The 24774-nt window shown below is 43.6% G+C and overlaps 2 protein-coding genes across 35 annotated transcripts in view, besides 2 other annotated features; one reads left to right on the top strand and one right to left on the bottom strand.

Moving 5' to 3' along the window:
* The window catches only part of LRIG1 (leucine rich repeats and immunoglobulin like domains 1), a 122325-nt gene extending 116365 nt beyond the window's left edge, over positions 1–5960 (top strand). For all 10 annotated transcript variants that reach the window (NM_001377345.1, XM_047447939.1, NM_001377344.1 and 7 more), the window contains 6 exons: positions 485–766; positions 1356–1775; positions 2359–2484; positions 3126–3278; positions 3896–4180; positions 4268–5960. In NM_001377345.1, the coding sequence (NP_001364274.1) occupies positions 485–766; positions 1356–1775; positions 2359–2484; positions 3126–3278; positions 3896–4180; positions 4268–4494 (1493 nt within the window). In that variant the 3' untranslated portion in view covers positions 4495–5960. The remainder of the gene's footprint in view (positions 1–484; positions 767–1355; positions 1776–2358; positions 2485–3125; positions 3279–3895; positions 4181–4267) is intronic.
* Positions 1061–1560: an enhancer, noted in NCBI's record as "H3K4me1 hESC enhancer chr3:66433621-66434120 (GRCh37/hg19 assembly coordinates)". NCBI's record gives its function as "activates a minimal SCP1, AML or CMV promoter by ChIP-STARR-seq in naive and primed H9 embryonic stem cells {active_cell/tissue: H9 hESC(naive and primed)}" and the evidence as "EXISTENCE:reporter gene assay evidence [ECO:0000049][PMID:30033119]".
* Positions 1561–2062: an enhancer, noted in NCBI's record as "H3K4me1 hESC enhancer chr3:66433119-66433620 (GRCh37/hg19 assembly coordinates)". NCBI's record gives its function as "activates a minimal SCP1, AML or CMV promoter by ChIP-STARR-seq in naive and primed H9 embryonic stem cells {active_cell/tissue: H9 hESC(naive and primed)}" and the evidence as "EXISTENCE:reporter gene assay evidence [ECO:0000049][PMID:30033119]".
* The window catches only part of SLC25A26 (solute carrier family 25 member 26), a 245318-nt gene continuing 226373 nt past the window's right edge, over positions 5830–24774 (bottom strand). For 8 of the 25 annotated variants that reach the window (NR_174576.1, NR_174568.1, NR_174574.1 and 5 more), the window contains 4 exons: positions 21828–21897; positions 15215–15279; positions 14155–14228; positions 5834–7067 (listed from right to left, as the gene is read on the bottom strand). Coding sequence is in view for 9 of the 25 variants with exons in the window: in NM_173471.4 (NP_775742.4) it covers positions 6950–7067; positions 14155–14228; positions 15215–15279; positions 21828–21897 (327 nt within the window). In the remaining 16 variants the exon portion in view is untranslated. Of the gene's footprint in view, positions 7068–13343; positions 13556–14154; positions 14229–15214; positions 15280–21827; positions 21898–24774 lie in introns of those variants that run through there. The other 17 variants (NR_174575.1, NR_174567.1, NR_174570.1 and 14 more) reach the window with 7 other exon arrangements.

Genomic DNA, 24774 nt, shown 5'->3' with positions numbered 1-24774 from the left:
GGGTGAACAACCATCCAAATGGATGAGCCATCCCATTCATCCCATGAACACCCATCCAAACGGATGAGCCATCCCATTGCTCTCCCAAGGTGGAGGCATGCCCACCTTCCCTCTGTAATTCCATCTCCACAGCCTCTCTCTTGGTGGGTAAAGCAGGCAAGCATCAGGCCTACCTAGTGTGGATGGGCACCCCCTGCAACTCCCGTATAGGCACTGCCATGTAGAGTAAAAGCCTTTGCTTTGAAGGGACTATAGCCAGCCTAGGGTGTACAATGCAAGGCTGATGGGATGGAAGTGTTCCAACTGTGGTGGGAGAAGCTGGGGGTTCCTGATTCACAGGTGGCAGGAGTGGTCCTGGGCAGACATTGGGAGAAAAGAAGTGAACTGGCACTGGGCACAGTGACAGGTAGGTGTTTGCCAGAGGACTTCCTGGTTTTGCATCTAGCTGTCCCGTAACCCGACCCTGTATACGTATGTTTTCCAGTGTTGCCATCATTCACCAAAACGCCCCACGACATAACCATCCGGACCACCACCATGGCCCGCCTCGAATGTGCTGCCACAGGTCACCCAAACCCTCAGATTGCCTGGCAGAAGGATGGAGGCACGGATTTCCCCGCTGCCCGTGAGCGACGCATGCATGTCATGCCGGATGACGACGTGTTTTTCATCACTGATGTGAAAATAGATGACGCAGGGGTTTACAGCTGTACTGCTCAGAACTCAGCCGGTTCTATTTCAGCTAATGCCACCCTGACTGTCCTAGGTTTGCCTATTGCTCTACTGTGTGTGTGTGTGTGTGTGTGTGAGCGAGAGAGAGAGACTCTCAAATGCTCTGTGTGGCCAGGGGTGGTATGCGTTGTGGGCCTTTCGACCCTGTTTGAAATTTGGGGCTGCTTTTTGAGTTGAGTTAATTTTTCTTAAACAAGTGTTTCTATCTCTTTAAAAGAAATGATAGCTGGTGAATTAAGAGTCTTCATAGGGTTTAGCTACAGAACATTTTAAGAATTGGACAGGATGGATGTGGGCTTGGTCAAGAGCTACAGAACATTTTAAGAATTGGACAGGATGGATGTGGGCTTGGTCAAGAATAAGGACACAGGCCTGACACAGGACAGTTAGGGAATAGCAGGGGCTTTTGTCAGCAGAGGTTCACTGTCCCTGTGGAAGCCACTCCCAGCATGGAGATGACTCAGTCAATGAGTTGAAGGGTCTTCTCCAAAGCTTGCCACTCTGAGACAGAATCTCAGATGCATCTCATTGATATGTTGGATTGTCCGTTGTCCAGAAGACCGGGCAGAGCCAGAGCAACGGAGGCCCTGAGAATGACTAAGATCTCTGTTGCTCTCTTGTAGAGACCCCATCCTTGGTGGTCCCCTTGGAAGACCGTGTGGTATCTGTGGGAGAAACAGTGGCCCTCCAATGCAAAGCCACGGGGAACCCTCCGCCCCGCATCACCTGGTTCAAGGGGGACCGCCCGCTGAGCCTCACTGAGCGGCACCACTTGACCCCTGACAACCAGCTCCTGGTGGTTCAGAACGTGGTGGCAGAGGATGCGGGCCGATATACCTGTGAGATGTCCAACACCCTGGGCACGGAGCGAGCTCACAGCCAGCTGAGCGTCCTGCCCGCAGCAGGCTGCAGGAAGGATGGGACCACGGTAGGCATCTTCACCATTGCTGTCGTGAGCAGCATCGTCCTGACGTCACTGGTCTGGGTGTGCATCATCTACCAGACCAGGAAGAAGAGTGAAGAGTACAGTGTCACCAACACAGGTCAGGCCCTGCCAGCGGAGCTGACTTTCAAGGAGGGAGGAATGGCAGTGATGCTGGGGAACTGGGCCGGGTTCCAGTGGCTTTTGAAAGAATTGCACTGTGTTCAGAACTCCTGAGGGTTTAGTCCCACTAATTCCATTTTAACTTTGAGGAACTTAACCTTAAACAGGAATACTCTCAAATTTAACCTTAAACAGGAATACTCACAAATACAAGTAACTGACGCACCATGCAGTTTTCCCTCTCCTTGCTAACTCAGAGGCCGCCTATGCACAGGCCCTGCTGCCACGTAGTAGGTTGTTCCTGAAACAGTGCGGTACTTCTGTGAGCCCCGGCTTTCCATCACTGGTCTCCACTTCTTGTGGCGTCTGGCATCTGCTGGCTGCGCTCTTCACGCTGGGTGTAGAGTAAAGCTGAGCAGGCTCTGGGAGGGCCTGTTGCGTACATGGACTCCATGTCATCTCTCTGCACAGCGCTGATGGTCGTCACTGGGAGGATCCCCTTTCTGAGCTTGACAGTGAACGTGTGTCTGCATTTCTTGTCACTGAGACCCTGGTGTTCTATTTGTTCTGTCTCCTTGCAGATGAAACCGTCGTGCCACCAGATGTTCCAAGCTACCTCTCTTCTCAGGGGACCCTTTCTGACCGACAAGAAACCGTGGTCAGGACCGAGGGTGGCCCTCAGGCCAATGGGCACATTGAGAGCAATGGTAAGGCCTCAGTAACTGTGAAGCAGAGCTCTGCTGTGACTGTGTCTCTGGGTGCTGGAGGTGGCCTCCAGGTCTTTACAGGGCAGGTACCTGGCATTAGATGGGGCAAACTTGGTGAAGTAGAAGGCGGTATGACTAAGGGCTGCTATTTTGGACCCAGTCTTCATGAGTTCTGCAAGGTTTTAAAGTCCTGTCCCCTCAGGAAGCCACTGGATTGGGCTTAGCATCTCCCTGGCAGGATAAAGTAGGCTTGCCTGGAGTAGCAGCTGGAAAGGGCATTACGGTGCATGAACCCAGCCAACCCATTCCTTACATGGGGAACGTGCCCAGGTCTGCTCTGTGATCCAGTCTTACACTGGAAAGCTGTCACCAGGATGAGGTACTTCCAACGGTGGGGGCCTCTGAGCACTTGCCTGAGACTGTAGAGGCTCACCCTGAGACAGCTGCTCATTTCACAAGGCCAGCCTGCCTGCTGGGAAGTAGTAGCAGAAAACACGCTGCTTGCCAGACCAGCAGCCCCACCGCTCTGAAGAACTTTTTAAAAAAAATGACTGTTCTAGCGGCCTTGCTCATTCCTTTCATAAGGCTTACTGTGAAATACCAAGCCCAGAGTTTCTAATCGTGTTGGAATCCACTTGCAGGTGTGTGTCCAAGAGATGCAAGCCACTTTCCAGAGCCCGACACTCACAGCGTTGCCTGCAGGCAGCCAAAGCTCTGTGCTGGGTCTGCGTATCACAAAGAGCCGTGGAAAGCGATGGAGAAAGCTGAAGGGACACCTGGGCCACATAAGATGGGTATGAGATGCTTCCCATTGGAAGTAGTTTCTTTCTGAAATGGAAATTTGGGCTGACCTAGTCACTACATCAAAGGGGGAGACACATTCCTAGTCCACAGCTGTCTCCAAATTTGGTATTCAGTATATACAGGGGAAGCTCAGGCCTGGCTCTCTTAATTCCAGGATAGTTTCTCCTAAATAAATCTACGCCATGGTAAGCCTGAGCATGAATTTTCTAGATGTATAAGCAACTTAAATAAGGGGCAAGGCACAAACGAAGTATAGAGTTTCAGTCAGCACTTTTTCACCAGGGCTATTTTGAGGCTTATTTCTAATTGTTGAAAAGACCCAACACTGCATGGTACCTAAGGCTAATGGCTTTTCCCCCGTGAAGCAGTAAGACTACATTGTCTATGAAATTCACTGTAAACACGAAAGACCCCACAGTTCATGAGTGACTTGGTGTTTGCCCAGTCCTTTCTCTGGGGACATAGTTGGGGAAAAGAGGAAGCATGCATACAGTGTTTGCAGTCAGGGTTCTCACCTTGCACAGTGGAGCTGAGCAGCCTGTCCTCTGTGTGGGGACGAAGACTCCCACAGCAGTGACTCTAACCCATCTTTGGCGCTGTCCTTCAGAACACGGTGGCCGGGTCGTATGCAGTGACTGCAACACCGAAGTGGACTGTTACTCCAGGGGACAAGCCTTCCACCCCCAGCCTGTGTCCAGAGACAGCGCACAGCCAAGTGCGCCAAATGGCCCGGAGCCGGGTGGGAGTGACCAAGAGCATTCTCCACATCACCAGTGCAGCAGGACTGCCGCTGGGTCCTGCCCCGAGTGCCAAGGGTCGCTCTACCCCAGTAACCACGATAGAATGCTGACGGCTGTGAAGAAAAAGCCAATGGCATCTCTAGATGGGAAAGGTAACTTTTGACTGTCTTCTAACAGGTGGGTTGGGAGCTGCTTAAACGGTCAAGTGGGGGTCTGACAGGTTCGTTCTTTCCTTGTAGGGGATTCTTCCTGGACTTTAGCAAGGTTGTATCACCCGGACTCCACAGAGCTACAGCCTGCATCTTCATTAACTTCAGGCAGTCCAGAGCGCGCGGAAGCCCAGTACTTGCTTGTTTCCAATGGCCACCTCCCCAAAGCATGTGACGCCAGTCCCGAGTCCACGCCACTGACAGGACAGCTCCCCGGGAAACAGAGGGTGCCACTGCTGTTGGCACCAAAAAGCTAGGTTTTGTCTACCTCAGTTCTTGTCATACCAATCTCTACGGGAAAGAGAGGTAGGAGAGGCTGCGAGGAAGCTTGGGTTCAAGCGTCACTCATCTGTACATAGTTGTAACTCCCATGTGGAGTATCAGTCGCTCACAGGACTTGGATCTGAAGCACAGTAAACGCAAGAGGGGATTTGTGTACAAAAGGCAAAAAAAGTATTTGATATCATTGTACATAAGAGTTTTCAGAGATTTCATATATATCTTTTACAGAGGCTATTTTAATCTTTAGTGCATGGTTAACAGAAAAAAATTATACAATTTTGACAATATTATTTTTCGTATCAGGTTGCTGTTTAATTTTGGAGGGGGTGGGGAAATAGTTCTGGTGCCTTAACGCATGGCTGGAATTTATAGAGGCTACAACCACATTTGTTCACAGGAGTTTTTGGTGCGGGGTGGGAAGGATGGAAGGCCTTGGATTTATATTGCACTTCATAGACCCCTAGGCTGCTGTGCGGTGGGACTCCACATGCGCCGGAAGGAGCTTCAGGTGAGCACTGCTCATGTGTGGATGCCCCTGCAACAGGCTTCCCTGTCTGTAGAGCCAGGGGTGCAAGTGCCATCCACACTTGCAGTGAATGGCTTTTCCTTTTAGGTTTAAGTCCTGTCTGTCTGTAAGGCGTAGAATCTGTCCGTCTGTAAGGCGTAGAATGAGGGTTGTTAATCCATCACAAGCAAAAGGTCAGAACAGTTAAACACTGCCTTTCCTCCTCCTCTTATTTTATGATAAAAGCAAATGTGGCCTTCTCAGTATCATTCGATTGCTATTTGAGACTTTTAAATTAAGGTAAAGGCTGCTGGTGTTGGTACCTGTGGATTTTTCTATACTGATGTTTTCGTTTTGCCAATATAATGAGTATTACATTGGCCTTGGGGGACAGAAAGGAGGAAGTTCTGACTTTTCAGGGCTACCTTATTTCTACTAAGGACCCAGAGCAGGCCTGTCCATGCCATTCCTTCGCACAGATGAAACTGAGCTGGGACTGGAAAGGACAGCCCTTGACCTGGGTTCTGGGTATAATTTGCACTTTTGAGACTGGTAGCTAACCATCTTATGAGTGCCAATGTGTCATTTAGTAAAACTTAAATAGAAACAAGGTCCTTCAAATGTTCCTTTGGCCAAAAGCTGAAGGGAGTTACTGAGAAAATAGTTAACAATTACTGTCAGGTGTCATCACTGTTCAAAAGGTAAGCACATTTAGAATTTTGTTCTTGACAGTTAACTGACTAATCTTACTTCCACAAAATATGTGAATTTGCTGCTTCTGAGAGGCAATGTGAAAGAGGGAGTATTACTTTTATGTACAAAGTTATTTATTTATAGAAATTTTGGTACAGTGTACATTGAAAACCATGTAAAATATTGAAGTGTCTAACAAATGGCATTGAAGTGTCTTTAATAAAGGTTCATTTATAAATGTCAGTATAGTTGGTGGTCCTTCTTTTACAAACGCAGTCATTCTGCCTTTAATTATCTTCCCCCAAAAAAGAAAAAAAAAATAGGCGAAGCAAAATCACATACTGTTTGTTTGCTCCAGGGCAGACAACACTGCTAGATTCCTGACATTTTGTTTTGAATTTTTCTACACCTGGAGCTTGTTAGTCAAGGTCTAAAATCCCTAAGTGTGGTGACCTTTCCATTTCATCCTGCCTTTTCAAAGCTGGCCCAGGCCCTCCTTTCAGTCTGACATGAGAATGGCGAGAATGGCTCACCCACCGTGCCCTCCTGCACGAAGCCAGCTGGGCCCACCTAGTCACTTGAGTTGCAGCTGCTTTCTCTCACACACCACAGGGGGCGCTGGACACATCTCTGTAAAATAATACAATTGTGCGTTTTTATGGGTGAAATCTGAGGGTAATTAAAACCAGCAGCCTAGTTACCCAGAAAGAGTGCTTGCTATGCACCTGTAGTTCAATCTTTCTTTCTTTTTCAACAAAGCCTACCCTTACACAACAGGAATTAACTAGGGGGAGAAACACCCACATACACAACTCTTCCCCAAGTCTCCTTTTCCCAAACAAACAAACAAGCTATTCTTTTAGAATTATAACCATCTTGCCTTCTGCTGAATCCACCATCAGGTGGCAGGAAATGAAAGATCAGATACAGATCAAATGAAAGCTCTAAAAGGCCTGGCCTCAGCATTACCAAACTTATTTATTAAGAGGTTCTGAGGAAATTGTTCAGAGTACCGCCACAGACCCCGTTTTCTTCTCTTAGCTCTCTGGCATACAGGCCAATGACTTCATACCAGCCAGCCTATACCACGGATGGCACAATCTCCATGCCGGTATCTTAGCACAACTGGTCTTCAGCACTGGGGCCTATAGTTCAGACAGCTGCTCAGCGGAAGAGGGTTTGCACTGCAGGCCCCTCTCTTGACAGAAGTGGAGGTGAGGCTTGTCTCTGCTTCAAGGACTCTTTCTGCCAACTTCCAACAGCAAGCTGTGCGTTCGGTCATAAGCCCCCAGAAAGATGAAACCTCCCAGACTGATGGCTGCCATTCGAGGGAAGACACCTGCAAATAATCTAGGGGAAAAAACAGGATTTTTAATGTTGTGCGTATTTTAAAAAAAGGTTAAATTCCAATACCCACAGCTTGCTCAGCTCAATACACCATGCTCATTAGTGGCTAACTACCAAACAGCTTGTGAACGCTCCCAAATAAGGCAAGTAATAGCTGTGTCCCAACAGTAGTTCTAAAACTTTCATGCCATTTTTCCCTTTGAAACATGAAATTGATTTTTTTTAAAAAGGTGTTAAAGAGCTGAATCCTAGGTAAGGCTGGAAGGCACTTCCAGCCCACACCTCTAAAGTGATCTCCAGGGGTTGCTCAGTGAAGAGATTTTTGGGCAATGCTGCCGCTCCACCCACTGACTCAGTTGCATTTTGTCCTTCGAGACCCCAAAACATGACGTCACGACAACGAGTTGAACCTCCATGGATTCCCTGTGTTCCTTTTCTGTCTAAAGGCATGAAAGGCAAATGGGCTGTGGCTGTGAAGGGGGCAGCATGCCTCCACCTGCACAGTCCCCTTGGTATCACAGAAGGTGCTGCTAACCAGCCAAGGTGCAATGTAGAATAATCAGAGCAATGCAAAGTAAAACTACAATGCCACGAGGATACAAATTGGGGATTCATTCTTTAAAACTGCCCCCCCTCCCCATACCTACTCAGATATTTGTTCAAAAATTTTCATTGTGGCATTGCTGATGGTGATATAAGTTATGGCACAGTATAAACATACAGTGGATGATTATGTAGCTGATAAAGATGAGGAAATCTACAGATGCCAACATAAAAAAATTACAAAACAGGTTTAAAAAACTAAGTCCAAGGACTATGATTCCATATCTAAAAGGCAAGCCAGGGATGTGTCTTAAGCCCTAAACTGAATGCCTGCTGCCTGTGGATTATAGGACACATTCCTGGCCCACGCTTCCATAACCTTTGAACCTTTTCACCAAGAGTACAGGCATGACTCAGAGATATTTCAAGTTTGGTCCCAGGCCAAGTTTGGCCACCATAATAGTGAATATTGCAATAAAGCAAGCCATTCAAATTTCTTCGTTTCCCAGGGCACAGAAAAGTTATGTTTCTACTACAGTCTATTAAGTATGCAGTAGCAATTATGTCTAAAAATTGTACATACCTTAATTTTAAAATGCTTTATTGCTAAAAAATGCTCATGAGCATCTGAGCCTGCAGTAAATTGTAATCTTCTGGCTGATAGAGGGTCTTGCTTTGAATGATGGCTGCTAACTGACCAGGGTAGTGGCTGCTGAAGGTTGGAGTGGCTGTGGAAATTTCTAAAAATAGTAATTGTTGCATTGATGGACTCTTCTTTTCATGAAAGATTTCTCTGTAGCACACAATACATTTTGCCCACAGTAGGACCTCTTTCAAAATTGGAGTCAACCGTCTCAACTCTGCCACTGTTTTCTCAACTAAATTGATGAAATATTCTAAATCGTTTATTGTAATTTCAACAGTGTTCACCGTATCTTCACCAGGAGTAGATTCATCTCAATAGATCACTTTCTTTGCTCACCCATAAGAACCAACTCCTCATCCGTTCAAGTTTGATCATGAGATTGTGGCAATTCTTTACATCTTCAGGCTCCACTTCTGACTACGGTGGTCTTGCCATTTCCAGTACATCTAGTATGTGTTTCCCTCCACTAGTCAGCCATGAGGATTGGAATCAACTTCTTCCAAAGTCCCAGCATGGTCAATATTTTGACCTCCTATGAAGCCACTAATGTTCTTACTGGTATCTAGAATGGTGACTCCTTTCTAGAAGGCTTCCAATTTACTTTGCCCACATCTAGCAAAGGAATCACTGTTGATGCAGCTGTAGCCTTATGAAATTTAATAAAACCTGAAAGTTAAAGTAACTCCTTGATCCACAGGCTAAGGAATGGATGTTGATAGTAGGCATGAGAACAACATTCATCTCCAGCAGAACTCCAGGGTGACCAGGTACACTGTCAATGAGCGGAAATATTTTAAAAGGAATCTTTTCCTCTGAGCACTAGGTCCCAGCAGTGGGCTTAAAATATTCAAGAAAGCATGCTGTAAAGAGATGTGCTGTCGCTCAGGCTTTGTTGTTCCATTTCTACAGCAGAGGCAGAGTCGATTTAGCACCATTCTTAAAGGCTCTAGGATTTTCAGAAGAGTCAATGAGCATTGGCTTCAACTTAAAGATACCAGCTGCATTAGCCCCTAACAAGAGAGTCAGCCAGTCCTTTGAAGCTTTGAGGCCAGGCATTGATGTCTCCTCTCTAGCTAGGAAAGTCCTAGATGGCATCTTCTTCTAATCGAAGGCTGTTTCATCTACCCTGAAAATCTGTTGTTTAGTGTTAGTGCCTTCATCGATGATCTTAGCTAGATCTGGGTAACTTGCTGCAGCTTCTCCATCAGCACTTGCCACTTCACCTTACACTTCTGTGTTACAGAGATGACTTCTTTCCTTAAACTTCATGAATCAACCTCTCCTAACTTCAAACCCTGCAGCTTCCTCACCTCTCTCAGCCTTCAGGGAAGAGAGTTAATGCCTTGCTCTGGATTAGGTTTTGGCTTAAGGGGATGTTGTGGCCGGTCTGATCTTCTATCCAGACCAAACTTTCTTCGTATGTGCAATGAGGCTGTTACACTTATCATTTGTGTATTCACTGGATAGCACTTTTCATTTCCTTCAAGAACTTTTCCTTTGCATTTACAATTTGGTTAACTGTCACAAGAGGCCTAGATTCTGGCCTATCTCAGCTTTCCACATGCCTTCCTCACTAAATTTAATCATCTCCAGCTTTTATTTTTAATTAATTAATTTTTTTTTTTGAGATAGGGTCTTGCTGTTACCCAGGCTGGAGTGCAGTGGCACGATCGTGGCCCACAGCAACCTCTACCTGCTGAGCTCAGGTGACCCTCCCACCTCAGCTTCCCAAGTAGCTGGGACTACAGGCACACACCAACATGGCCAGCTAATTTTTGTATTTTTTGTAGACAGGGTTTGGCATGTTGCCTAGGCTGGTCTTGAACTCTTGGGCTCAAGCCATCTGCCACCTTGGCCCCCCAAAATCCTGGGATTACAGGTGTGAGCCACCATGCCCGGCCCGAGTTTTTTATTTAAAATGAGAAAGGTGTGATTCTTCCTTTCACTTCAACACTTAGAGGCCACTGGAGGATTATTAATTGGCCTAACTGCAATATTGTGTCTCACAGAATAGAGGCCTAAGGGAGAGAGAGAGGGAATGGCTGGTTGGAGACACAGCCCGAACCCACACCACATTTGTCGATTAAGTTTGCCGTCTTCGGTGGACACAGTGGGTGATGCCCCAAAACAATTACAGTAACATCGAAGACGGCTGATCACAGATCACCACAGCAGATATGATAATGAAAATATTTGACAGGTGAGAATTACCAAAATGTGACACAGACACAAAGTCATCATGTGCTATTGGAAAAGGGCTCTGCAAGACTCGCTCAACGCAGGGTTGCCACAAACCTTCAATTTGGAAAAAAAGTGCACTGAGAAGTGCAATTAAACAAAATATGCCTGTATTACTTCTGTAAGCAGAAAGAGTTAATGAAGGCAAAACTAGTGCATATGCCAGTGAAAAGACTTCTGGTCAGGTCTATGGAAGAAAACTGAAAATGGTCAAGTATGCCAACAGTAGCTATGCATCCTTTAAGATACAGGAAAAGCCTCCATGACAAGCAAGCTGGTGGCCTGGAGAGAAACATGGCAGGAAGACGGTCCCTGCAGGCTGCTCCCAGCACCTGACTGCATCCTTTCTCCCAACACCTTTGAGCTGTTGGGGGAGGCTGAGCAGCCTCCCTCTGTTTGCAGCACTTGGCACTTCTAAGGAAAATGAGACACTTAAGAAGAGTTTTGTGGGCCCTTTTTAGTTAGCTAGCTATGGGTTTAAATCATTACAATACTGCACATAAAATTAAGGACCACGATTACTTGTCCAAAAATAACCATGAAAATTGTATTGAAAACCAAACTACACTTGCTTAAAAAAAAAAAAAAAATCAGCATCATGCAAAGGGTGGGTGGTGAGGACAGAAACTTATAAATTACCACTATGTCCTTCCTGCCTGAAAGACAGATGAGCCTCCCTGCTCCTACCTTACGAAGGAAAGAGTGCTAGACAGGCGGCCAGCAGATGCCGAGCTGTGGGAGACCACTCTGGCCACAAAGTTCTCCCACCTTTACTACCTTACTTATTTCTAAACGCCAGTGTCTTGTTCAGCTTCTGCCACTCACAAGCTCAGCTGCTCCTGGCAAGACACAGATGGAAGCAGTTTATGGTTTCAACAGATGACCACTGAATCTATTAACGTAATTACGGCCTTAACGTGGAGTAATTTGTACAGTGAGGGCCCCAGCCAGTCTCGCAGGTGAAGACTTTTGAGTTGAGCAGGAGCGTGTTCTAGTGCCCACAGATTAAATGAGAGCAAACGTAAGCACTTACAATGCCAGACAGAAAGGGATGCTCGCGGCAGTGGCAGCTACTACATAAAGGGCACAGTCAACAAAAACAGAAAGCCAGCTGATGAGTGAAGAAAACCAGAAAGGGGCCATCCGGGGTGGGCAGGCTCCCCATCTGCCTTTGGCTACGGGGCTGAATGAACACGCGGTGTTTGTTTAGTAATATATTTCTGTTTATATGTGTACTCCCATATGCGCCAGAACAAGGTCTTCACCTGCGTGGACCACACGGAAAGATAAAAGTGGTCGCCACTTGACTTGACCCCGAGAGGGCAGCACCATTCCATCCTAAGGTGAGGAGATGGTGTCTGCTGGAAAACCCAAGTAGTACCTAGTAAACTTAGTGCACGCCCCGGGGAGGAGACAGGAGGTGGCAGCAGCGCTGTGTGCTTGGAGCACAGAGGAAGCTGGCAGAGATACCTTCAGGCTGAGGGTGCCTGGGACCTCTGTTCACAACAGCCACCCAGGTTTTTCTGTGACTGTTTTTTAGTCAAATTATTTATTGTCTTTAATCATTAATAAGTGGCTAATCAAAACTCCCTTAAGTGACGACCGCTGCTGTCTGTAATGCTCTTAGGGACTACACTGTACAGACTGACTAGAGCCCATGACTTCTGAGACTTTCCGAAGATAGATAAGCAAAAAAAATTCCACATGACCTTTACAGAGCTGACAATGGGGACAGGGACAGGCCCTTGACCTGAGGAAGACACCCCTCCTCTGCCTGTATTTCTGGCACTGCTTAGTATTATAACGTCAAGTATAAGACATGCCACAACCAGGACAGGGAAGACTATCTTCAATCATCTACTCAACATAACTCCTACCAGCTTTTGGGGCCATGGGGTTGCCAGTCGATCATGCCATCCCCACCTGCCACCACTGTCTCCAGAAAAGGCTGAGGGGCTGCAGCTCTGCACAGCTCCACAAAGCTAAGGTCAATTGAAGTGGTTTGCCCAACAGTTGCCACAGAATCAAACATGAACTACACTGAAATCAGTAGGACAGTGAAATTTGGCAGTTTGGTTTTACAGTCTAAAAAAGCCACTGAATGTGACTTCTCCATGTATGTAGCCCAATTGCTATTTGAAACACAGAAGAACTTTTTTGTTGTTGTTTTTTTGAGACAGGGTCTTGCTCTGTCACCCAGGCTGGAGAGCAGTGGCACAGTTGTAACTCACTATAACCTCGACTTCCCGGGCTCAAGCGATTGCTCAGCCTCCTGAGTAGCTGCGACTACAGGTGCGTGCGACCACACCAGGCTAATTTATTTATTTATTTTTTAGAGACAGAGTCTTGCCATATTGCCCAGGCTGGTCTCAAACTCCTAACTTCGAGCGACCCTCCTGCTTCAGCCTCCCAAAGTGCTGGGATTACAGGTGTGAGCCCCGCACCCGGCCCCTAAGCACCTTTTACCTGCTACTGGCTAAGTAGCTTCAGGACTCATTTTTTCTCACCCCATTCCTTTGTTTGCTGTGGAACTGGCAGCAGAATTAATGTGCCACAGATAGAAGCACCCCTCACGATATGGCAGCCCTAAGTGGCAGGCTCCCAGCACACATGCCCCCCACTAGGCCCTTCCCACGCTCTCACTAGACGTCAACAGCCAATTATTCCTCTGGCTTTGCCCCAGTTCTTGTTTCAAAACCGTGACACCCTTCACACCCCCAACGTCAATCCCTCAGAGTTGTCACATTCAACAAAACCATCCAATATCACCTACTTTTCAAACTTCCAACTGGAAAATTTCAATCTAGGATGTGCTGCTCTCCTATAAAAACCTTAACTGGGTCCTGACTCACCTACTTCATGTCCTCCAGATCATCAAATAGCTGAGATTAAAACTGCCAAAGGTACACAAAAACTACAATCACATAAGTGATCCAACTCGGCATCAGGATGAGGAGGTGGCACTGCCAGCTGAGACGCCCGAAGTCCAGGCAGCTGCCGACCGACCCTCTGCAAAGGGAGGCCACTGCTTTGCTCTTGCAAGAAAATCCCTGGTATATGGTCCCTAAGAGAAAAATCATCATTTCACATGCCTGTAAGATCTCAACATTCAGGCGGCTTCACAAGTTTATGGTGTCAAAGCAATGTTTTAATCTTGCAGAGAGAGCTTTTAGGACATGAAGCTAGAAGTCTGAGGCACTTCTGTAGCACAATGGTTCTCAATTGATGCTAATAGTGGAGTCATCCCACCTGCACTATGGTATGTTCAAAGTAATTTGTTACTAATAATAGTTAAAAGCATCAAAACCACAAATGCTTTCTTCTAACAATGTTCCCTTCACTCCCTTGTATTTCTGCACTGTGTAACCTCTGAGAAGCCCATTTTATCACTGCTGCAGCCCAGACCCTGGTGAGAGCCACACATGTGAATTTCATCTAACATCAAGATGGGCAAGGCTGAGAACTGCCTGGCTGGAATAATCCGTCAATTTGATTTGCTATGTTATCTCATATATACAACATCAACTATAATATTTTGCACAATAAATAGAAACTCAAAGCAGAACATAAGCAGAAGGGAAGGAGAGGTGTTCATCCAAAGTTAGGCTAAAGGAGGAGGAGTGGTGGAGAGGAAGAAAGGAAGGAGGGCATTCCTCGTCTTACCCTGCCAGCCCCTGTGACCGCCAGACCCCATGCAGGACAGAGAGCACATTCCCATCAGCAGTGCTGGAGCCAGCCTGTGTGAACAGACAAAGAGAAACCCGTTATCTTCTGAAGCTCCCAATCACACACTTGCCTCTCAGATATCCTCAGACACACAGCTCCCCGTCACCCTCATCTAGAACACAGTGTCAGATACCAGGGAGTTTCTTGGCAATCAGGACCTGGCTCGCTCGCCCAGAAGTGCTTACACTCCGATATGCAGGCAAGCAGGGATGTGGCCCATGCCACACAGGTGGCTGCTTATCAGAGCTCACGAGATGACTGATGAACTATTTAACAGCAGAAAGACAGAAGCACTATGAAGCAATGTGAGGAGGGCGGGGAATCATTAGTGTAAATGGTACAACTATGAAACCTGCATAAGCAGCTAATAAGCATATTTAATAGAGTGCCGTTTAAATGTTCCATTTAAAACGTGATTAACATTCTTAGGTTGGATCCTGCCACCTCCATACTAAAATTTGGCCCATTATTTGTTCTACTTTTCCACAAAGATAGGACTTTTTTGTTTTGGTTCAGTTCAGGTATGTTATACGTATGGCATTCTTTCAACTCTCTATCTAGCAGGGTTTTTTAAAACAATTTTTCTCTTAAACAAAATGGTTTCAACATTTCTGACAACTGTCTTAACCCATCCAGTTAAGGCCAACCATGACCCTAGGTTCAAAGCCTGTCACTTACCTGCCACATAGCAGGAGGCTCGTCAACCTCTCTGACCCTTAGGTTTGTCACCAGTAAAAACAGAGTTTATTTGAAGATGGTACTGCCAGGCAGTGGCTCTACCAGCCCTATGTGAAAATGACTGTGAAATGGTACAATATTATGTAGACACTGGGGACATTGTTCCATCAATGGCAGTTTTGTTAGAGGTTGCACAGGCAGCATAAGATGCTATTACAGGTAAATGGTAGCCATTTGTGTTCACTTTATACACCTGTAGTCCTAGTGCTAACAGATATGAGCATCTGAAGTATCTCCATTACATTATTTCACCACTTACCTTTGCCAGCGTAATTCTTGTCTTTGCCACGTCTAGAGGGGTGGTGACTGCAGCGGCAAATCCACCTGTACAAATAATACCCAACACCCAAGTGAGATCCTGTTTACTGTATAATTTTGTAATTTTTAGAATTCCTGACTCTGCCCAAATCACTTCGTCATTATGTACACCTGGCTGATTGAAGAACAGGATGCACACATGCACAATCTTTATCCACACGCTTCATTTCTTTTGCAGCGATACAGAACTGCATGAGAGAAGAAAATGCTCTACCCACTCAGGTGAAAAATACAAGGCTCCACAATTTATCTTGCTCTTTCATTAACTAGCAAACTAATGAGTGTGTATGTTTACATACATGATGAATGTGTACACATGACATACATGTATGTGGCCAGATGCCCACTCTCAATATGTGAGACACACTGCTCCTAATGGTTCTCAAAGGGTTCATGACTTTCTATAGGCCACTGTCTTTTGTTTTTTTTTTTTGTTTTTGTTTTTTTTTTTTTTTTTTGAAAAGACAGGGTCTCACTGTGTCTCACCAAGACTGGAGTGCAGTGGTGTGATCATAACTCACTGCAGCCTCACCCTCCTAGGCTCAAGTGATCTCTCCACCTTAGCCTCCTCCTGAGTAGCTGGGACTACAGCTGCGCACCACCATGCTTGGCTAATTTTTAAATTTTCTATAGAGACAGGGTCTTGCTCTGTTGCCCAGCCTGGTCTTGAACTCCTTGCATCAAGCACTCCTCCTGCCTCGGCCTCCCAAAGTGTTGGGATTACAGGCATGAACCACCACGCCCAGCCTGGACCACTGTTCTTTAAAGTGACTCCAAAATGCGTCTATCATTTCTGTTTTGCATATAGCAAAATGGACAAACAGACTCACATGTGACATTGTGGGGATTTTGGGTATACATGGCTGGATTCTTTGAATTAAAGGAGCAAAGCTTTTTGTGTTTCACGGGCTCCTGACAGCAGGCTAGTCAAAGTTACCTTTCTAAGCTCTCTTCTACATCTTCTTAGCCTGAGTCTCGCTTCAGCACACATTCCACATTATGGCTTCCTTCCTAACCTTCTCTCTCATGTTTGCGTTATCTGAATGTCGTGATGGCTGAACTGTACACAGATTGGACTTTTTGAAGGACTTTCTGTTTTAACATAAACCAAGTTTATGGTGTCAATATTACATTTAAAATGCAGTACAAAGATATATTCTAAATCCGAAGAGGCCCTACAGAGACAGAAATAATAAAAATCCTAAAAGGCATTACAAAGATTCAGCTTCCATGAGCTAGGGGTAAAGAGGCAGTGTTATAAGGGCAACAGGACACCCGTGTGTGAAGGATACTCCAGAAATAGCACTACTTTCCTTCTCGCTTTTGTGGCTTGTGGACAAGAAGGTCATCTGATCTCTGCCAAATATCTAATTATGATGCTGAAATAAGATTATACCAAGCCTCCTCCATATGGTAACACTGATTATGACACTGACTTTTTGAAAGGTGTACCTATTTATGCCCTCATGGTCCATTTCTGGTTACCCCTGAATGTCACACACCTTAGGGGTAATACTATCAACTGACATGAATATTTGAATCCCCTTGGGTTTAGCCATTTCAAATTATGACTATGTAAAACTCTTCATCTCCTATCCAGAGGTTGTCTGAAATTCAGAGACTTGCTAAGCTTTGTGTCTTTTAAATTTTTGTGGACTTGGTCTTGAAATCCTACTCTTTTAACCATATATTCTGCCCTGGAAAAGTAAATATACTTTTAGTTACATAACAGGATCCATGAACACTATCTGTCTCTCTCTCTCTCTCTCTCTCTCTGTGTCTGTCTGTCTGTCTGTCTGTCTATCTATCTATCTCCCCCAAGAAAGGAAGAAAAGGAAAAAAGACACAAGACACAAAGGCAACAAACTTTACTATCCCAAACTTCCCATACACCAAAATAACAGATTTGGTTTTGTTTCCCTTACCAGCAGCACGGTCTAGCCTGAAAGAACCCTTCTTTGGAGTTGGAAAGACCAACGCTTAAATCCCAGTTCTACCAGGTGTCTAGCCTTAGGTAATTACTTATTCTGTGGCTGAAGTACCTTATGAGCTAGGAACTCTTACATCCCCATGCTACAGGTGAGGAAACTGAGGCTTATGGAGGCTAAAAACTTGAAGATTTTACTTAGTGCAGAGCTGAGACGGGATCTAAAGCCTGTACTGACTCTGGAACTGGGACTCTTACCCACTGGTCTCCTAGTGGCCTCAGTTTTCTGATCTGTAAAATGCAGATAGTAGTATGACACAGGAATTAAATGGGCCTACGCAACATGTTTGGAACAGCATCTGGCTCACAGCAGTAATCACAAAATAATTAACTCTTTCCTTGGTGGCCAGAGCTAATGAGTGCTTTTTCTTCGTATCTTTAGACCAGCACACTCACAGCAGGCACTCGAAAACGCTTAATCGGTACCCTGGTCTATAGTTTTTATAAACTGAAAATTTCAACTCATCCTCTAAAAGGCAGGGAAAGGTAAAGGTAGGAGCTAATATCTGCAGTGCTTACTTCGTATCTGGCATGCCAGGAATGCACTAGGCACTTTCATTGATTATTTGATCTCATTTGCATAGGTGTTACTATTCTCATTTTACAACCAACTTACTTGCCCAGGCCACACAGCTGGTGCGGGACCTGGGACTGTCACATGTATGATGACTCCAAAAGTAATGCTCGTTCCACTACATAATGACTTTGATATATAAGACAAATTAAAATTTGTCCAATTGTTAAACCCACTTTCGTATGTGAAAATGTTCACAAACGATCCTAAACCAATTAAAAAGACCTAAAGGTTGATAAGGAACATCTAATAAATTTAGTTACTGCAAATCAAACTTATTTTGGCCATTAGCAAAGATTTACCATTCCTTTAGTGGGGATGCCTACCAATATTCTCTTGGAGATTTAGGTTTCATGAAAGTAATATGAAGAAAAGTTACAGACAGAAACATGTATGCTTCAATAGGTCCTAACTTTACTACCATGAGAGAAGTTGTATTTTATGTGTTACTAATAGACCAATTTGCCTGTCTTCAACTATCAAAGATTTCTCTAATTCACAGACCTCACAATGCTTTTGTAAGGCTGTAAGGAGGACTTGTGAAGATAATAGAATAGAATAATGGTCATAACGGGGAAGGGCTGGGGGCCAGGACTTTCAGTTAAAATGTAGTTATTTTCTACGTTTTATTTAAGGGCACTGTAAGCTACTGGTAATAAATACAAGGAACAGTCTAACATATGAGACAGGAAATAATTATTTGGTACAGCAATTACAGGCTGCTTTTGTGTTCAAAGCATCTGTGAAACAGTTTTCTATGGTCTCCACTGGAGTTAGGTTTGTACTGAATGTTAGGCTAACTGCTTTCGAGGACAGGATTCAGGAGAAACTAAAATTTTATGATAAAACTATTATCTCCTATTTCCTTGGGGAACAAATGCAGATTCCCTAACTGCCCCTGCCCCAACACCCATAAAGACAAAGTAGCCACCTTCCTACAATAAGGCTGGAGCTGTCACCTCTAAGCAGTGGCTGAGAATGTGGGGGCAGCAGTGGGGAAGTGCCCGAACCCACCCCTGGGCAACCTTGCTGCCATTCATTGCTCCTCCAGACCCTACGTTGCCCCTGATTAGTCTGGAAGGGAGAAGAGCACCACCATACCCCTCTTATGTGCGTGACCTCCAGTGAAGTGTGCAGATGTGGAAGACTTCCCCATCAACAAGAAGGAAAGTGTTTTTTGTTTGTATTTTAATAGAGATTGTGTCAGGCCTTCTCATTTGTTACCCAAATAATCCCTCACCCTGTTCTCGAATTTCAAACCCATGGAGAGATCGCAATCAATGTCTCTTTCCCTGCCTCTTTCTCCCCCACCCTCTTCTCTCCTAGAGAATGTACAGAGGTGTTTATTATGAGAAACTAATCAAAATATACTAGAGTACCAAATACCACTATAGTAGCAAATGTCATAATTACTTAGGCTGCATTATGGTTTATGTTTAGAAGTTAACTCGAAGCAAGGAAGTTGCAAAGTCCTTTTATCCCCCTAGTTTCACCCCGACCAGAAGCCAAGGGAATTTCTGTGCATGACAAGCCATCAACACCTCCAAGATCACGGGACATTTTTGGATATTTGCGCCAAGTAGTTTACAAAACAAGCATGAACAAGAAAGAGTGCCAAGGATGGCACACAGAATGGTTCATCTGCAATGATTTAGCCAATTTAAACTTGGAAAAGCACATGGGGATGAGAAATCTGATTTCTGATTTGAGGGCAAGTTTCATCACTGCTTTTATGGCCATGTAAGGGTAAAGTCTGCAAGTGCAGCGTGTATTTTAAAGGGACTTCACAAGACATCCTTCATCTCTATATGCTGTAAGGCACCATGTTGCAACTCTTACAGAATCTCACTTTTTCACAAATGGGAATATTTTCAAGTGATGTTTATCCTTCAGAAATGCCTTAAAATAGTAACCTCCTCTGGATCAACAGTTGTACCAAATAAAATTTCAAAATAAGGGATATAAATAAGCAATCTATTTATCTTTTGCTAAATATATGTGGTTCTACTGACAACAGATTTTTTGCAGGCCTTGGACAAACTCCTTCACTTATCAGAACTTCAGCAGAAAAAAATAAGATGCTTATATTGGAGGCATTTTAAAATTTACGAGCTATTAGAGGAGACTGTTGTGTACAGTAACTTTATTGATATGACATTCCTTCACTCAATCAAGAAGATGAATTACTGTGAAAGTAGGTTTTCATTTTCTGGATGTTAGTTGTTCTTATTGAAATAGTAGTAATTCCTTACATCGACTCGGTTTTGCAGAGTACAGAGTACTGACCATACATTATCTCAAGCCCTGAAGTAATCCCCTAAGGTAGGAATTGTTGCTTCTACATTACAGGTAAGGAAACTGGCACTCAGGAGGGTCCCAAAGTCTCATTCCTGAGTTGGGGAGCAAAAAGAGACTTCAGAATCCTGTAAGTCACACAGCTCAGCCTGTGCTAGATGTGTAGCCGTGGGCACCTCGCTCCCTTTCTCCATACCCCAGCATCACTGGAGCACCGGCTGTGCTGCCACACTCCCCAGGTGAGTCACCTTAACTGAAAGGGCCTGGATGGTAGGATCCTACCACATAGATAGAGGATGTCTGATAGGAAGTTCCCTTCTCTCACTCCTTCTGACAGTACAAGTGCTTAGTGTCTATTACAGAGTATTATTCTGAAAAGGAAACTGTAATTAATGCAAATTTCCTTAATAGTAACAATGTCTCTGCAAGCAAATCTTTGAATTGGGTATTCAAGGAATAGGACCAGAGAATATGTTCTTATTTCAACACATGGAAGTTTTATAGTATTGCTAACTTTAAAAAGTAGCCTTACTTATCCAGGATGACTTAATTTCCATAATGCGCTCATTTTGTCCCCAGGGCCCAGGAGAGTGTCTACAAAAATGCACATCTCTCTTAGGGACTGGGGAATAATGACTCCTGACCTCTGGAAAATGAATCAAGACCACCTACTTATTTAACACAGCTAATGACTATGTGTCATGTGGAAACGATCATCATCATAATCAATCTGGATTGGTTTCATGTCTACAGGCAAAATTCTTATTGTTGATTATCAATTCTACAAGTCAAATGAGTCTATTAATAAAGAGTACTATAAAATGAACATTTTGTTTTCTCAATCACGACAACAACAACAAAAATGACCATTAAACAAATTGCAAAATAATTATTTTCCAATAAAGTTAACACCCTAAACCTCCCCTACTGGCTTCACATCTCAACTAAAAGTTTCCTTTTCTGGCAAATTTCCATTGTATTTCAACTATAATTCTAATTTAACGTTGTAACAACAAAATATACTTCTCTCTTAGGCTTTTAAACATATCACTTATTAAGCTCTTTAAAGCATTTGAGTTCTCGTTAAAGCCTCACTTGAAAATTCATATGACTTAGTGATGGATAACACGGTATTGCATATTGTCACCTCGCTCTTGCTTTAATGTCTCGAAAATGCCCAGATGTGTAGATCTCCATACTTCCTACACAGAACAGTTTACCCTTCAGTAAGTTATGGAGGAGCCTCTGCTCTCCTGACACTAGTTAATCTACAGTGCTGTCAAACATGTCACACAAACCGTGAATCATGGCCTTCTGCAGAAATCGCTTAAACCCCCTAAGCACTGCCCAAGGCAGACAGCTGCATGGTGAGCCCTGCACCCACAGCAAGTCTCTTCCCACAGAGGACTTTATAAATCATCTTTAAGGTAATTCCAGGGCCTGAGTGAAGGCTTTAATAAAGATAAAAAGAAAAAGAAAAATTTGTCAAAAACAAATTGGTTGTCTTTCAGGCAGACACCTTTTTAGCAGTTTTTTTTTTTTTTTCCCCTCTAAGACACGTTCTTTTCTCAAACAACTAGTGGAGCGCTCTTCATCTAAACAACCTGGAATGTCTAAAGAATGTTGTTTTTGCATAGTTAATATTTTCACATTTTTCCCCCTCTTTGGTCTTTCCCAGTATAATATAATCCTTTGCACCTGCAAAAGCTCCACAGACTGCTGACTGCCAAGAATCCACCACATGATCCTGCCTCCAGGACCAGAGGGCCTGTGTTTAAGGAGAAAGAAAAATACAAGTTATTAAATATTTGAATTTATCGGAACCTCCTGTGGGTTAGCTCTGGGGATGGGAACTTAAGTGAGAAGCTATTTTGGTGGCATTCTTTACTGATGACATAAGTGACTTTCCCAAAGACTTAACAGCTTTCTAAAATAAGTCACAGAAATGAGAGTGACAGCTACATTAGAGTGCTCAAAGTAAACAATTTTCAGAGAATACATATGTGTGTGTGCACGCACACAAAACATCATCGCCACAATTCAGATAGTGAACTGACTCATGACCCACAAGTTTTCTTGTATCCCTATGTAACCCCTCCTTCCTGTCCTTCCTCACTATCCCCCAAGCAATCTGATCTGTCATTCTAGATTAGTATGCCTTTCCCAGAATGTTATATCATTGTAATCACATATTTTTTTTAAATCCAACTTCTTTTATTCAGAATTATTTCGTGATTCACCCACGTCATGCAGATATCAACAGTTGCCTTCTTCTTCATTAGTAATATTCTGTTGTATGGATATACCGTGATTTACGCATTTACCTGTTGATGGACATTTGGGATTTTTCCAGTTTGGGGCTATTACAAATAAAGCCACCATGAACATTTGTATACAGGTCTTTATATGTATACATGCTTTCATTTCTCTTGGGGAAATACCTAGCGGTGAAATCACTAGATCACATGGGAGTTATATGTTTAACTTTTTAAGAACTGCCAAACTGTTTTCCAAAGCGATTGTACCATTTTACATTCCCTTGAGTTCTGGTTTCTCCACATCTTTCCCAATACTTGTTATCATCACCATTTTAAAATTTTAATCATTCTAGCAAGTGTGTTGCAGTATTTCTTTCTTTCTTTCTTCTTTTTTTTTGAGACAGACTCGCTCTGTCACCCAGGCTGGAGTGCTGGAGTACAGTGGTGCAATCTTGGCTCACTGCAACCTCCAGCTCCTGGGTTCATATGATTCTCCTGCCTCAGCCTCCTGAGTAGCTGCGACTACAGGCGCCTGCCAACACGCCCGGCTAATTTTTGTATTTTTAGTCCTAGACACGGGGTTTCACCATGTTGGCCAGGCTGGTGTCGAACTCCTGACCTCAAGCGATCCACCCGCCTCAGCCTCTCAAAGTGCTGGGATTACAGGTGTGAGCCACCGTGCCTTCATTGTGGTTTTAATTTGTATTTCCCTAATGATGTTGAGTTGCTTTTCATGTACTTATCTGCCATCCACAACATACTGTCTTTGGTGAAGTGTCTGTTCAAATATGTTGCACATTTGTACTGGGTTACCGTATCTCAATGACTGCATTTTAAGAGTTCTTTACATATTCTAGACATAGCTCACTTACAGATGTTTTCTTCTAGTCTTGCCTTTTCATTCTTTTAACAACATCTTTCATCATTCTTTTAACAGCATCTTTCAAAGAACCGAAGTTTTTAATTTTGATGAAGTCCAAATTATTCTTTTACAGATCTTGCTTTTGGTGTCACATCTAAGAAATCTTTGCCTAACTCAAAGTCACAAAGATTTTTTGATCCTGTGTTTTCTTCTAGAAATTTTATGCTTTCAGGTTTTACATTTGTATCTATCATCCATTTTGAGTTAATTTTTATATATGGTACAATATGTAGATTGAAGTTATTTGGTTTTGTTTTCACATATGGATATTCAGTTGTTCCAGTGACTGGGAAAGATAATCATTTCTCCAATGAACTGCCCTCTTGCTTTTGTCAAAAATCAATTGTCCACATATGTGTGGGTCTATTTCTGAACTCTCTATTATGTTCTCATCTATAGGCCTATCTTGATATCAATTCCATACTTTCTTCACTACTGTAACTTTATAATGAATCTTGAAACCAGGTAGTATTTGTCTTCCAAATTCTTTTTCAAAGTCCTTCTACCTATTCTAAATATTTTGCATTTCCATATGAATTTTGCAATCTGATTATCAATTCCTACGAAATAACCTGCTAAGACTGTGATTGGGAGGCACCAAACCCATGGATTATTTTGGAGAGAACCAGTTGTTAATGTTGAGGGGTTTTCTTCTCACAGGCATGGCATCCCTCTCCATTTGACTAAGGCCTTCTTTTGTTTCTCTCCACACTGTCTTAGTTTTCAGTATACAGGTCTTGCACTGGTTTTGTCAAATTTATCCTTAAGTAGTTCACATGTTTTGATGCTACTGCAAATCGCACTGTTTTTTAAATTTCAGTCTCTGGTTGTTCATTGCTAATATGCAGAAACTGAAACTGGTTATCAACACAATTGATTTTTGTACACTGATCTTGTATTCTGCAGCCTTGCTAAAGTTACCAACCTCATAGCTTTTTTTTTATAAAGCTCATCAAATTTTCGACATAGATGACCGTATCATCTGTGAATAAAGACAGTTGTACTTCTTCCTCTCCAATTAAGGTAACTTTTATTGTTTATTTTCATTTTTGCCTTACTGAATTGAGTAGGACCTTCAGAATAATGGTATGCATTGCAATAGTGACCACAAATATTAACAAAAAAGACCTCTTTAATATATTAATTTAAATGGTTAGAAAAGTATAATGACTTTCTGAGAGTGGTCTGACATTTTTAGGGATAATCAAATACACAGCAACTAAAAGAAGAACAGCAAAGTTCATTTTAATTTCCTACTCTGAATGCTTCTCCACTGACAACTATCTCTGGAAGGTTGTGAGGGTCACTGAGGGGATGAAGAAGATGCCATAGAAATTCATTAGGTACAAGACTCTGTTTACTCTGTCAACTTTCACAACTTCTCTTAAGTCAGACAGCTACTATGTTAACTATCTAACAAATTAAATATGTGACAGCGTGTGGTTTGAGGACCAACATTTCCCTC

This window comes from Homo sapiens, chromosome 3 (genome assembly GCF_000001405.40).
Source record: "Homo sapiens chromosome 3, GRCh38.p14 Primary Assembly".
Taxonomy (NCBI): domain Eukaryota; kingdom Metazoa; phylum Chordata; class Mammalia; order Primates; family Hominidae; genus Homo; species Homo sapiens.
The sequence above is the reverse complement of the archived record's forward strand: the minus strand, read 5'-3'. Positions and strand labels throughout refer to the sequence as shown.